Source organism: Homo sapiens, chromosome 9 (genome assembly GCF_000001405.40).
Source record: "Homo sapiens chromosome 9, GRCh38.p14 Primary Assembly".
Taxonomy (NCBI): domain Eukaryota; kingdom Metazoa; phylum Chordata; class Mammalia; order Primates; family Hominidae; genus Homo; species Homo sapiens.
Window position 1 is genome coordinate 103330161 of NC_000009.12, and position 13743 is coordinate 103343903.

The following is a 13743-nucleotide window of genomic DNA, read 5'->3' on the forward strand; positions in this document are numbered from 1 at the left end:
TATTTGATAAGTTATTGATAATACCCCCAGGAAAAATAACATGGCCCAGATAAAAGCTTCCTAGTTGTGACTTATAAAACCTGAAAACCTTATGTTTTGTTTAGAATTAAGTCTGCACAAGCAGATGAGTTAATAGCAGTTAGTAAAAAAGTAATTTTTTAAGACTGGACTTAAAGTAAATATATATTCTAGTAATATATGGTTTATGTCAACGACATGCAAGAGAGGAATTTTTTTAAGAGGGGATTTCTTTTTATTTCAAAGACAACCAGAGTATCTCTTGGAAAATTGGAAATTGGTAGGTTGTTAGAGGCTTTACAACTGCCTGCTTGGATATCAGTAGTTCATTATACAGCTCACGTACTACAGGATGAAATACCTAATGGCAATAATTTTGCTATAGAACTGCAGAAGCTGATAAACTTGGCAAATCCCAAGCTTAGAAATTCACCTTTTAATAAAGTAAGGAACATTTATTCATTTTCAAAAATATTTTATACAAACGAAAATGGACAAATGGATGATAAAAGAAGCTAAAAGAAATTTAACTGGACTATGGAATTTACTAAACAAAATAATTTCTACACCACAGTTCCTATTTGCTTCGTTAGTATTGTTGTGTCGTCAACAACATTATCTGACTATAGGAGAATTTTGAAGGCAGTAGACTGTTACTAAGCCTGACAAAAAGACAAAATTATTCAAAACATTTAAGAAATGTGTTATGTGTTTGCAGAATTCTTATAAGTTATTCCCAAAATAAATCCAGAAAGTTTTTCCTGACCAACTTTACTGGTAATCAGGTGTTAGTCATAAAACTAATCCTTGCAAAAAGTTAGAGATTGTATTAAGTTCTGGTTGCATGATGCCTGGATGGCTTGAAGTCTTTCCCTCTTTATAAGCCAATAATCAGACAGTGATAGCTTCTCTTAATACATGTAATTCCTGCTTTTAGGATACCAGAGCACATTGAATAAGACAACGGAAGTCATTTCATTTCTATTATAACTATTATGCAGATGTTTGCAGATTCCTATGATAGTCCTTTGGACAAATAGAGCAAATGAATCAAACTAAAAAACAAAATAAACAAATTAATTGGCCAAGAGTCAACCACCTAGTATGTCAAAATGGCCTAGAGCTTTACTACTAGCCTCATTAAAAATTAGAGTGATACTCCGAAGCATACATGGGATCTTTCTTTTTAAATTTATGTGTGAGAGTCCCATGAATTCTGGGCTGAGACCATATACTATACCTGATTTAATGGAATTCTCTCAGTCACGTTCAAGGTCTTTTCCTTTCCCTAGAATTGAGACAGAGTGATAAGGTTCTGGAAAAAAACAACTGGGAAAAGTCTGCCAGCTCTATTGAAAAGAAGATTTTGTCTACATAAAACTGTTCTGTAGGATAAAACAGGCTATCATTGGACAGGGCTGGGAGAGATTCTTTCAAGTGTTAAGTACCCACATAACAAAGTGACAGGGGAGAGAAGGAAGCCAGTGGATTCTTGCTTTCCATATGAAGCTAGCACCTCTGGATCGCTGGACTACGACTCTCACAATGGATTTGAAACCTAAATTTTCTAGAGTAGCTGATATTGGTAGAAAACTAAACCAACTGGAGGTGTTTAATCAAAGATACTGCAAATCTTATAGAGATCTTACTGTCCTATTCACAGTTGGATTTTTTCTGCTTTAAAAACCACATTTTACTGGAAAACAAATGGAATTTATTACGTAACATTTTTGATCCATATTCACAGTAATGATTCCTAAAACTTTATTTCTGTTTAGCTCTAAATTCTAATCTGAATATAAACAGGATCTCAATTTGTAAATTCCAAAACCTGGTTATTGATAGAAAAAATGTGAGAATCACCTTCATTAATTTTTTTTTAAATAACAAAGTAAATGATAGGCATTTCAATACAAGTGAAGCCCTAAATTTAACCAAAAAATGTTTTGTTAACAGGTTTGATTGGAAGGATGATATGCTAAAGAAGAAGAAATCTGTCCAGGTGCAGTGGCTTATACCTATAATCCCAGCACTTTGGGAGGCCGAACCTGGCAGATTGCTTGAGCCTAGGAGTTTGAAACCAGCCTGGGCAACATGGTGAAACCCCATCTTTACCAAAAATACAAAAGTTAGCCAGGAGTGGTGGCACATGCCTGTTTTTCCAGCTACTCAGGAAGCTGAGGTGTGAGGATGCCTTGAGCCCGGGAGGTCGAGGCTGCAGTGAGCTGTGATCACGTCATTTCACTCCAGCCTTGGCAACAGAGTGAGATCCTGTCTTAAAAAAAAAAAAAAAAAAAAAAGTCCATCTAATAGAGAAACAGAAGTCTGGCATTTATATTCAGAGACTGCCCAAACCAGGTCTAATATCACTATATTCACTTTGGAATGAAAGTTCTCTCCAGTCCCAGCAGATCAATAAAGATATTTGGTTGACGGTTTCAATCCTATATATTGGGGTCTCCAGTTCTTGCGCCTTCTTTCTGTGTCATCTTGACTGAAAATCACAGAGTGCTTTGATCACTCTGTGACCCAGTGAGCTACAGGTTTTTCCTGAAGGCTTGAATCCAAACAAGGCCTTGACAATTCATTCCCAGGCACTGATAAAAGTATCTAGGTTGTTGCACAAACATCATCCCAGACTCAGCCAAACTCCTTAAACCTTCATATAAACTCCCTACCCTGACCCCCTCACCAGGGACATAACTAGGTAGAGCACCCCTTTTCTCTTTCAGTCCTTTGTGAGCATTGCTACAGCACTCGGTAAGTTTCCCTAACAAAAGCTTAGGACTGATCCCCCTGGCATTTAGTGCCTCTTGCTTTGGAATCTCAACGGGCTCCATCTGGGCATGGTTTGGGGCAATCCCGTGTGGAAATCCCTGCCGCCACTTTTGGAGTTACTCCAGCCACGTGTTCAGCCAGACGAAACAGTTTAATTATTAATTTAGATTCGATGCAAAAATAAAAAAGCAGAAGAAGCAGCCCATATAGTGGAATAGTTCTACAGGCTTGAAACAATTAGAGCCATATACATTAAACACTGAAAGTTCAGTCTGTATCTTTCAATGGGTTCCTTATAAGACTTTGATGTTAGATGGTGGCCATGGATGTCTCTGCATATTATATCAGAGGAAACTATTTGAAAAGATAGAACAATGACTAAGGGCCTAAATTGTTATATAAATCTGATGATACTCATGTGTTTATTTCTTTTTAGTCTTAATTGCTTCCAAAGCATTTTGATTGCAATGCAAATATTACTTTTATAATGTATTTTTTTCCAGTAGGAGCATTGACTTGTCCAACCTACCATTTCATCCAGAAGCACAATTTTACAAAATTTACATATCCATAGTGATTGTCTCTTTTATGCTATCTTTACTCGTGACACCCTACTTTTATTACCTTAAAAAAAAGACAATTTTAGAGCAGTTTTCAGATTATAGAAAATTGAAAAGTACAAAGCTTCTTCATACCTGTTTTGCTCCCTACAGTTTCCCTCACTATTATATCACTCTTAAAAGTGATATAATAATAGTGCAATCATGTATTTTATTTGTTACAGTAGAAGAATCAATACTGTTACATTATTAACTAAATTATATGGTATGCATTCATATTTTCCCTTTGTGTAGTAAATTCTATGGATTTTGACAAATGCATAATGCCATGTATCCACCATTACAGGGTACAGAATAATTTCATTATCCTAAACATTTCATGTGTTCCACCTGCCTATCCTTCCTTTTTTCCCCCACAAAACCCTGGCAATAACTCATCTTTAGTTTGATTCTCTCCAGTTTTGCCTTTTTCAGATTGCTACGTATTTGGAATCACATTGGATTAGCATGTACCCTGTTGAAATTGACTTCTTTCAGTTAGCAAAATGCATTTAAGTTTCTTTCATGTCTTTTCATTGTTGATAGCCCATTTCTTTATAAAGGTGAATTTTTTTTTGTATAGATACACCACAGGTTGTTTATCCACTTAGTCATTGATGTGCATTTGGTGATTTTCAGTTTTTGGCAATTACGAGTAAAGCTCCTATAAACATTTGTTGGAAGGATAAATTAAAAAAAAACTCCATGAGTAGGCATTTCATATTCAAAGTGTAGAAAGTTAAATACAAAGAAAATGTTGAAAGAAGGCAGTGAAAGTATTTCCAATTCCTTTCTTCTACTTCTTATAATATTGCTGTAATTCATTTCACTTATAGATAAGTTATAAAAAATATATTATTAATATTATTTTGAACAAACTTATCTATTAGATAAATTAATAACAAAAAATTTATTTTACTTTCATATATTTTTTAACACTCTTCATTTCTTTATGTAGACAGGAGTTTCTAACCTATATCATTTTTCTTTCCTCAGGGGAACCTCTTTCAGCAAACCTCTTTCTTTGCTGAAAGCAAAATCCCTCAAGTTTTCTTTTTTTGAGAAGTGTTTATTTTTCTTTCACTTTTGAAGGATAATTTCACTAGATATAAAATTCTAGGTTGATGGTGAATATTTCACTCCATTCTTTTCTTGCCTACCTAGTTTCTTAGGAGAAATTCATTATAACTCTTACCCTTCTTCCACTGTACATAAGGTGTTTCTTTTCATTGCCCGCTTTCAACATTTTGTCTTTGATTTTATACATTTTGAATATTATATACCTAGTTGCAGATTTTTTTTTTTTTTTTGGATTTTATCCTGCTTTGGGTTCTTAAATGTCCTCTATATGTGGTTTGTCATCTGACATATATTTTAGGAAATTCTCAGCCATTATAACTTGAAATAGGTTTTCTTTTCCTCTTACTTCTCCTTTTGTAATTTTCATTGTGCTTACATTATACATATTATTTCCCACAGTTCTTTATAAACTGGGCTTTTTTAAAAAAATGATTTTTTTCTTCTTTGTTTCTGAGTTGAGAAATTACTATTGACATATCTTCACGCTCACTGATTCCTCCTTGGCTCTGCCCAGTCTACTTATAAAACCACTGAAGACATTCTTTATTTTTATTACAGCTTTTGAAAAAACAATTCTAGCTTTCCTCTTTGACTCTTTCTTAGAATTTTCCTCTTTCTGCATACATTACATACCTCCTTTCACATGTTGTCCACTTTTTTTCATTAGAGCCCTTTGCAGTTTAATCACAGACATTTTAAATTCCTATTCTGACAATTTCAATCTCTGACATATATGTGTCCAGTTCTGTTGCTTGCTTTGTTTCCACAGACTGTGTTTCTGCTTCTTTACATCTTGTAATTTTCATTGAAAGCTAGGTATGACGTAGCAGGTGAAAAATAAAAATTGAGGTAAATAGGTCCTTAGTGTGAGGTTTTTATGTTTATCTGGAGAGATATTAGGCTGTGTTTATTGTGGTTAGTGTTTTCTGTAGCTGTAGGCATCAGAGGATGATTTTTTTCTAGCGTCCTCGTTTCTGCCTTTTGTGTGATCTTTAGTTCCCTAGAGACTCATTGTTAAATAGAAACTAAACTTTGCAGTTATTTCAGCTGTAATTTTGTTATTATACAAAAGCCCTATTGATGTGGTGGTAAGCTGTGGGAGAGGTGAAAAGTTGTAATTGTATAGCTAAATCTTAATCTTTCATTAAGACTTTATCTTTTGGGCTGTGATCTTCGCAAGTGCTATTCAGTTCTCCCTCCCCACTGCCAACACTTAGTTGAGAAAGGCTTGACAATAGGGCTGAAGTCAATTTTCCCCTTGACCCATGTTGATAATTTGGGTATTTCTCTTTTTCCAGGTCAGATAAACCCTGGTAAAATGGTCTCTTTTGATGGCAATATTTATTTTTAAGGAGAACGGAATGAACTGGCTATATTTTAAAAGGTTACTTTTCCTTTTCTCAGAGTCTGGAGGGGATTTTTCTCTCATTGTCAACCTGAGAAACTGGTGAGTTTCTTGGAAGGAAAATTCACAAAAGTGTGTGACCTCCCTAAGCCAGAGTCCCTAAAAGTTTTTATCTTTCTAGAGCTTTCTAGGGCTTTCTCTTTCTAGGGCTCAGTCTTCAGCACTTAGTGATTACCCTCTAAGTGTTTCTACCAGTTGTTGGCTCCAGCAGTGGCTTCTGCTTGAGTTAAACTGTGTTTCTCTGTATTCTCCTGTCTATCCAGTTTTGGTGGTAGTGATTTGTCCTGAGACCTCAATTCCCTGATTGAGCTAAGAAAAGTTGTTCATTTTTAGTTTCTTTGGCTTATTGGTTGTGAGAAAGGAAACTTATCAAACTGGAACTGAAAGTCTAATTACCTTTGGAATGTAAATTACTCAAATTATTCATCAAGCCCATTGGTAAAAATAAAAGTAAGTGCTCCACTTCTAAGCTTGGTTTTAGTCTGTACCTGTACACTACAACTCTGATCATCTAATGGCCCTCTTCACATCTCTCTCTCTCTCTCCTCTCACTGGAGTGCAAAGAGATGTCTGGATCTCTTAAACACCAAACAGCCATATCTACAACGAACTTTTCATCCTCTGCTCTTGCTCTCTTGAGACCACTCACCATTATTGTGTACAAATGGGGCTCCCTTAAGCAATGGTAATCCTCCTCAGGGTTCCAAAGCCTCCCTCCTTTCGTTTTTCCCCCTAGTGTTTCTGTTTCTTGTACTAGATTTTGGCTTAAATAAGTTGGTATATTCCTGCCTTATTTTTGTTGTTCCAGTTGTTTTCTTTCTTTTTTTTCTACTCTTACGGGAATAGAAAAAAAAATATGGACTTTCTCCTATAACTTTGATTTGAATGGGACATCTCATAACATTGACTTTTTCCCCATCCTAAAGTTTGTAAAGACCGTGATTTTTCAACTATGGAGGAATAATAAGATGGACTCATACTGAAGTGTGCTAAATAATTTTAAAACCCAATTTCAGAAAAGGATGTTTATTTTCTGCTTGAAATTGAAAAAAAAAGATTTTAAATGGCAGTTAAGGTCAATGGTTACATTTTTGTTCTAGCATATATCAACCTTCCTCCTACAGAATTAAACTCATTAATCTTACAGCAGAAAAGACAAAAGAAAAAATTACAGAGTATAAAAATAAAATTTATTTCAAAAAATATTGTCTATATATATACTCAGTGAGTATTTCTATTATATAGCACTTTTCCACAAATTTTCCTTTCAGTTTCTTTTCAAATTTTTCTTATCTTATGAATGAATAAAGTTATAAAGCCTCAAATATTTCAAAAATAAAGTCATTATATTTCTGGTGTTGGAAATGAGAGCTTATTTAGACTCAACAGGTATGAAAATAAAATGAAATGAACTAGGCTTTAACTTCAAGTTTTAGCATTCTACTCTAGGCTATATTTTAAGAGATGTGGAAAATGTTCTTTTAAAAATGAATAACACTAAGCCGATGCAATCAATGGCAACAATAACACATAATTGGCTGATCTTCAAAGTGGAAAAACTTTTGATTGCATATATGCAAGATCAGTTGTAGCAAATCCATATGCCTGCAAACCAAGCAACAATTTCAAAAAATGTGTTGTCTCATTTCAAAATGAATGAGATGTGGCTAAGTGCTACATCAATGTAAAAGTTTGTAGCAGAAGTAAGTTTTGGCAGACTGCTTCTGGAGGCAATGGTAGAAAAACCAGTGTTATGAGAAGGTGTGATAGAGCTTTGACAAGTCAAGAAGTAAGTGAAGGATTTTGAAAGAAAGGGATAATATACCTGAGATCTGAAGAGCAACAGAGAGTTAACTTCAAAAGCAGAAACTGGATGTGTGTGCCAGTCAGAAGAAACATGGGTACAGTTCCAATGCCAGGCACACATAACAAGGTGATGGAAACAGACAGCTAAATTGAAGCAGAGGGTATCAGGGAGCATAAATGAGACCAACAAGCCCAATTATAAAAGGCTTTTGAAGTTTTGTCTATTTTATTAAAAGCAAAGAATGGCAATTAAAGAATGTAAGTATCAAAGATTATTGGAGGCAAATGAAAGTATTTTGATCAAAATCGTACATCTAAAGGATAACTCTGCAAGTCATGTTGAGACAAGGCATAAAGAGAAAAGAATAGATAAAGGTAGAGTCATTAGGCAATTATTGTAGTATTTAGATAAGAGGGAAGAGTAGCTTTGACTAAGATGGAATGAAAAGATGAAGAAAAGTAACTCAAGAGATATACAGGAAGTGAAATATATAGTAATGATTATTTTAATCATCAAGATTCTGTGGCATATCAAAAAATTTCAAAATCCTTCTGGCTTGCCACAGCAAACATGTATTTTCATGATCATAGGTCTGCAAGTTAACTGCCATTTATGTAGTTTAGACTCGACCTGTCTGAAATTTACTGGACTCTAGGCTACTACTGATTGGGTTGAGGCTTGCTCTATGTGCCTTCATTCTGAGGCTTAGGATAGAGTGTGCCACTGTTTCAGACATGCTGTTTTTAAGGTGGTTCACCAGAGTACAAAAGGGCAAGCTAAACCACATACAGGGTGTTGGCAACTATGAACAAAACACTGTAAATAACATGGGAAATGTTGTGGATATATAATTGTATTACAGATGAATGTAGAATTTGAACCATTATTCAGTCTACCAAAGTGTTGCATATAGCACAGTGATTATGGTTGAATCAGGAGTCCAGAATGATATCTATCTTTGTAGAACTTATATGCATCATTAGATGAATGATAGTGCCATTGATTAATATAGAAAGCAATGAAAAGAAGCTAATCATGTAAGTGGAGTGAAATAACACAGCTTTGATGTGTCAAATTTTAGTTGCCGTTTTAATATCTAGAAGAAGAACTCAAGTAGATAATTAAATATAAGCCTCAAGCTCAGTGAAGAGATAGATGTGGGGGATAAAAATCTGGATATCTTTGGATAAATGGTAATTTCCATTCATATATGAACATTTCCCAGGGATACCACAACATGAGCAAAGGGTAGAACACAGGACATATACTGAAAAACTAAACTATTTTGTAATTGGATAGAGAAAAAAACACATCTAACCAGAGCACAAATAATTTGTTAAAGAGGGAAGAGAAAAAGTGGGAGATTATTTGTTATATAAACCAAGGAACAGAGAGTTTCATATTTGAGACTGTATCAAGATTAGGAATAAAATATCCCCATTGAATTTAGTTACATGGTTTATTGCTGACCTGGAATGAACAATCCTGGCAAGTAATAGGGCTTGGAATTAGCATTATAGTAGTTTTAGACTGACTGAGGTGTGGAGAAGTAAGGCCAACATTTTGGATATTTTTTAGAAGTTTCACTTAAAAAGAAATAAAATGAGGTAGTTGCTTGAAGTATAAGAGGATAGTAGAAAATATTTTTTAAGTCTTTTATTTTTGTGTCAAAGTACAGAGAGTTAAGTGTACTTAAATGCAATGAAAAAGATCCATTTCAGAAAAAGTAAATATCCATTTCAGAAAGAAGGCTTGGGAGAGTAACCTCCATGCAGGAGGGTATATGTTCCAAGCCACATAATATGATTTAGCCTTTGATAAGATAAGTGGAAAAAGAGGAAAGCTAAGGTAGGCAGTAGATGAGACAGAAAAATAAGGTCATAAAGGGATCTTCAATTTAAAGAAAAGGGACAAGATAAACAATTTAGAGTGACAATGAAGAAAATGTAGTCTTTAATAGATGGCGATGAACTTGGTGGATCATACAATATATGTTGATTATCAAAAGATAATTTTTTTTCTCACAGGCAACATGGATGTAGAAAGTCCAAGGAAATCTATAAGATAACTTGTTAAAACTAATAATTGAACCAGAAAGGTTGTGAGTTACCAGGCCATTTTTTTTCTCATGCTTTTAAAGCCACCCTAGTAGCATGTTACACAATCTCCTAGGGTTCTTTCAGAAAATTAATTCTTGTATTCTAGAAGATACTCACAAATTGATAACCTCTAATTTATCCAACCTCCTATTCATGACCCCTTGATCAAGTACACTTGAAAATATATCCCATACATTCTCTTCTGGCTTCTGTTCCTGTGCACTAGATGGGTCATGTTAAATTTTTGGGTTATAGTTTCTTTCATTTCTTATCAGACTCTCCTTTTATTTAGATAGAACATGTTGTACTTTAACCCCATTTATTGGAGTTCAGGCAAGGAATAGAATTGAGGTCTATTCTGAGGGTCTCACATGTTGTCTTAGGAGAGGTCTCTGCATCTCATTCAACCAAAATGTAGAGACGGCATTTAATAGGGAATATTGGTCCTTTTTTGCAGGCTCAGAAGGTCCTGAAGAATATAGACTTTCTTTTTTTTTTTTTTTTTGAGACACAGTCTCACTCAGTCACCCAGGCTGGAATGCAGTGGCTGGATCTCTGCTCACTGCAAGCTCTGCCTCCTGGGTTCATGCCATTCTCCTGCCTCAGCCTCCCGAGTAGCTTGGACTACAGGCACCTGCCACCACGCCCAGCTAATTTTTTTTTTTTTATGTGTGTGTATTTTTTTTTAGTACAGATGGGGTTTCACTGTGTTAGCCAGGATGGTCGCGATCTCCTGACCTCCTGATCCGCCCGCCTCGGCCTCCCAAAGTGCTGGGATTACAGGCGTGAGCCACCGCACCCGGCCGAATATAGACTTTCAAGTCTTCTCAGTGCATTAGCACAAATTTCTCCTTTCGTGGGTCAAGTTCTCATTCTTTCCCAACCAGGAGCCTGACTTTAGCATGCCAGACTTACCTGACATATGAGACTTACCTCCTTGGGAGCTCAGACAATCTGATAGTTTATTCCAGGCTCTGGGCTTCAGTTTACTCTGTTCTCCCTTGATAGGGGTAAGAATCTGTCTGTATGCAACCAGGACAACTCTCTCGATTTTGAACTTAAATTTACTTGCCAATTAATTGCTCTCAACATTTTTTTCTCTGTCCAGAGCATCAAGAGTGCTTAAAAATAGCTACCCAAATCCATTGTCCTAATAGTTCTTATGTTCTCCATATTTCTCAAATGCTGTATACTTTGCCCCAATTAATATATCACCTTCCACCAGTATACTATACCAATTCATCAAAAGTGAAAATTTTAACAATTGTACATCTATCTTGTACTAAGAACTCTCTGTATTCTACCAATAAGAATTGTCAGTGAGGGACCGTTATTGCCAGCCTGGCAGTGAGTAACCCAGCCACAAAACATCACCCCATTATCTACTTTCTTAATTCATTTATGGCATCAATTGTAATAGGCTGAGTTTCTTGGGAACCAGACACTGTACAAGAGGTTCACTTTCGTAAGGCTTATTAGGTCATACCCTAGTAATTTAGCAAAAGACAGTAGCAGAATATTTTCCAGTCATTTCTGTCTTCACTGCTAAACTAAATTTGGAAAAAAAAATCCACTGACGCCTAGTTTTTGTTTGCCAAACTTTCATCTCATGTAATTTGAATAGATGATTTTGGATAATAAAGTCAAAGTGTGAAGTGCTAAATAGTCCTTAATCACTCTGTTAGATTTCCACTTTTACCCCTTTCATCCACACGCATCTGACACAGTACACAAACACCACTTATTATACAGGTTTAAAATAAATGTCTAAAAACCTAACTCATAATCTATCATCAAATTCAAGCATTTGATTATGACAGACAGCAATCAATAGTTTAACATGACAATGTCTTTTTTTTTTTTTTTTTTTTTTTTGAGATAGAGTCTCGCCCTGTCACCCAGGCCTAAGTGCAGTGGCATGATCGCGGCTCACTACAACCTCCACCTCCCGGGTTCAAGCGATTCTCCTGCCTCAGCTTCCCGAGTAGCTGGGACTACAGGCGAGTGCCACCAAGCCTGGCTCATTTTTGTATTTTTAATAGACACCAGGTTTCACCATGCTGGCCAGGATGGTGTCGATCTCTTGATCTCATGATCCGCCCACCTCGGCCTCCCAAAGTGCTGGGATTACAGGCGTGAGCCACTGCACCCGGCCTGACAATGTCATATTTTAAGAAGCCAAAGTCTTGACTTAACAAAGGATGTTACTGGTTTATAACTATAATTTAGTATTGATTTTCCAATAACTTATTTTTCAACATTTTTTATTTCCTAACCAGGACCAAACAAAAAAATCGCTCAATACTCAACAAATGGTTAAATAATCCATAATTATCATATAGTTGAAGATTCAAGTATTAAAATTTAATTATTCCTTAAGACATCCTACTATGTGCTCCAACTTTCATGTTAACTTTAAACGGATTATTGCAAAATCAAAATTAATCTTAGATAATGTAATTACTACCCTCTCCTGGTATAAAAATAATCGTTTATTCTGATGTTCCTTAGTAAGTAAATAATAGAGTAGAATTTTTATTTGATTACTTTATTAAATTATTTAACTATATTTCTTAAGCACTTACATGCCAACACTAGGGGAAAAAAATGAACAGTAAGGCAGGCATTAGCCCTCACAAATACTACAAAGTTTCAGAATTACTATTAAAGAAAGGACATAATTACAGTAAATCATTATTGGTTAAAACAGAAAGTTCGTGTTGTCATAGGAATATAATAAAATAAAATGTATTATGATTTGAGATTTAGGCAGGCCTCATTAAAGAAGATAAAAGATTAGAAGGAGTAGCTACAATGCAGAGGAAGGAATGAGGGAGGGAGATAGAATCTCCTGGTAAATAGATCATGCAAAGAAGTCTAAATTGCAGAGAGGATTGCCTCCTCCAAAGTCACAGAAACTACAGCTGGAACATGGATTTCAGCTCAGGTACACAAACACCAAACTCGCTTTTCTATCCACACACTTTATGTTTTTGTTATATAATTGTTTCCCAGATTATGTTTATTCCTGTTATTCATCTTTCTCACTGAAGTCTGGAATTTTTGTCCACAGAATAAAGAGACAAAAAGGTTATAAGAGCTTCATGTCTAATGATTTCCTTGTAAAAATCTGCTGCTGCTTGTGCCTAGTGCTCTCTTTTGGGCTTCTTTGTTTCAATTGACATGCTCTGAGAGGCACTTCATAACCTGAAAAACTGTAGGCACCTACTCCATAAACAGTAATTAATAAAGCATATGAAATTAGTTTAAGGAAAAATAAAATGTGGAAACAAATTTTAAATGTGAGATGATATACCGAAGCTCAAGTTGCTTACAAATCCAACCAGTCATGTAAATATCTGACCTTTTATTTATAATCTCTGAGTTGGGAATAGGAAACCTCCTGGAGCTTTTGGGAGTGGCCAGCTACATGATTCATGTGACCCATACCCTCATCTCTCTAACATATTGAATATTCTCTCACTTGGGGTGTATCTTCAACTGTATGTCCTCTTCCCTCCATTAACATACTCAATCATTTTCTTAGAGCATCCCTCAGTCAAAAAGTACCCATAGAGGTATTAAATTACTATGTTCTCTCTCCCCTTTCCCTATCACCCTCCTTCTTAAGGTCTCTGTAACACCTCTTTTCTGACAACACAGGTACAAATTAACGTTTTCTCTTCCTCTAGGATACAGGTCAATGAATATCCTCAATTGTCAAAGGTTACACAAGATTGAGTGAATGTGTGTATTTGATTAATTCCTATTTTTCTTTGTTAAATCTATATATTACTTTGTTTAAATTTTAAGTAAATTTTCAGGACCCAACTGCTAAATATGATCAATGTAAAGGGATTCTAAGATCATTGTAACATCATGCACATGAGTACAGTGACATTATGTATACCAACTTCAAAATTTTGTTCATAGAAAAGGCTTGAGTGATCTGCTCAT

At 35.3% G+C, this 13743-nt stretch overlaps 2 annotated features.

Annotated features, from left to right (window-relative positions):
- Positions 11316–11485: an enhancer, noted in NCBI's record as "experimental_104292 CRE fragment used in MPRA reporter constructs". NCBI's record gives its function as "activates a minimal promoter by MPRAs in K562 erythroleukemia cells, with activity observed for both the introgressed and non-introgressed 9:106103843 or rs77886141 variant alleles {active_cell/tissue: K562}" and the evidence as "EXISTENCE:reporter gene assay evidence [ECO:0000049][PMID:34662402]".
- Position 11401: a transcriptional cis regulatory region, noted in NCBI's record as "Neanderthal adaptively introgressed variant 9:106103843 (GRCh37/hg19 assembly coordinates) or rs77886141 in the experimental_104292 CRE". NCBI's record gives its function as "modulates activity of the experimental_104292 enhancer by MPRAs in K562 erythroleukemia cells {active_cell/tissue: K562}" and the evidence as "EXISTENCE:reporter gene assay evidence [ECO:0000049][PMID:34662402]".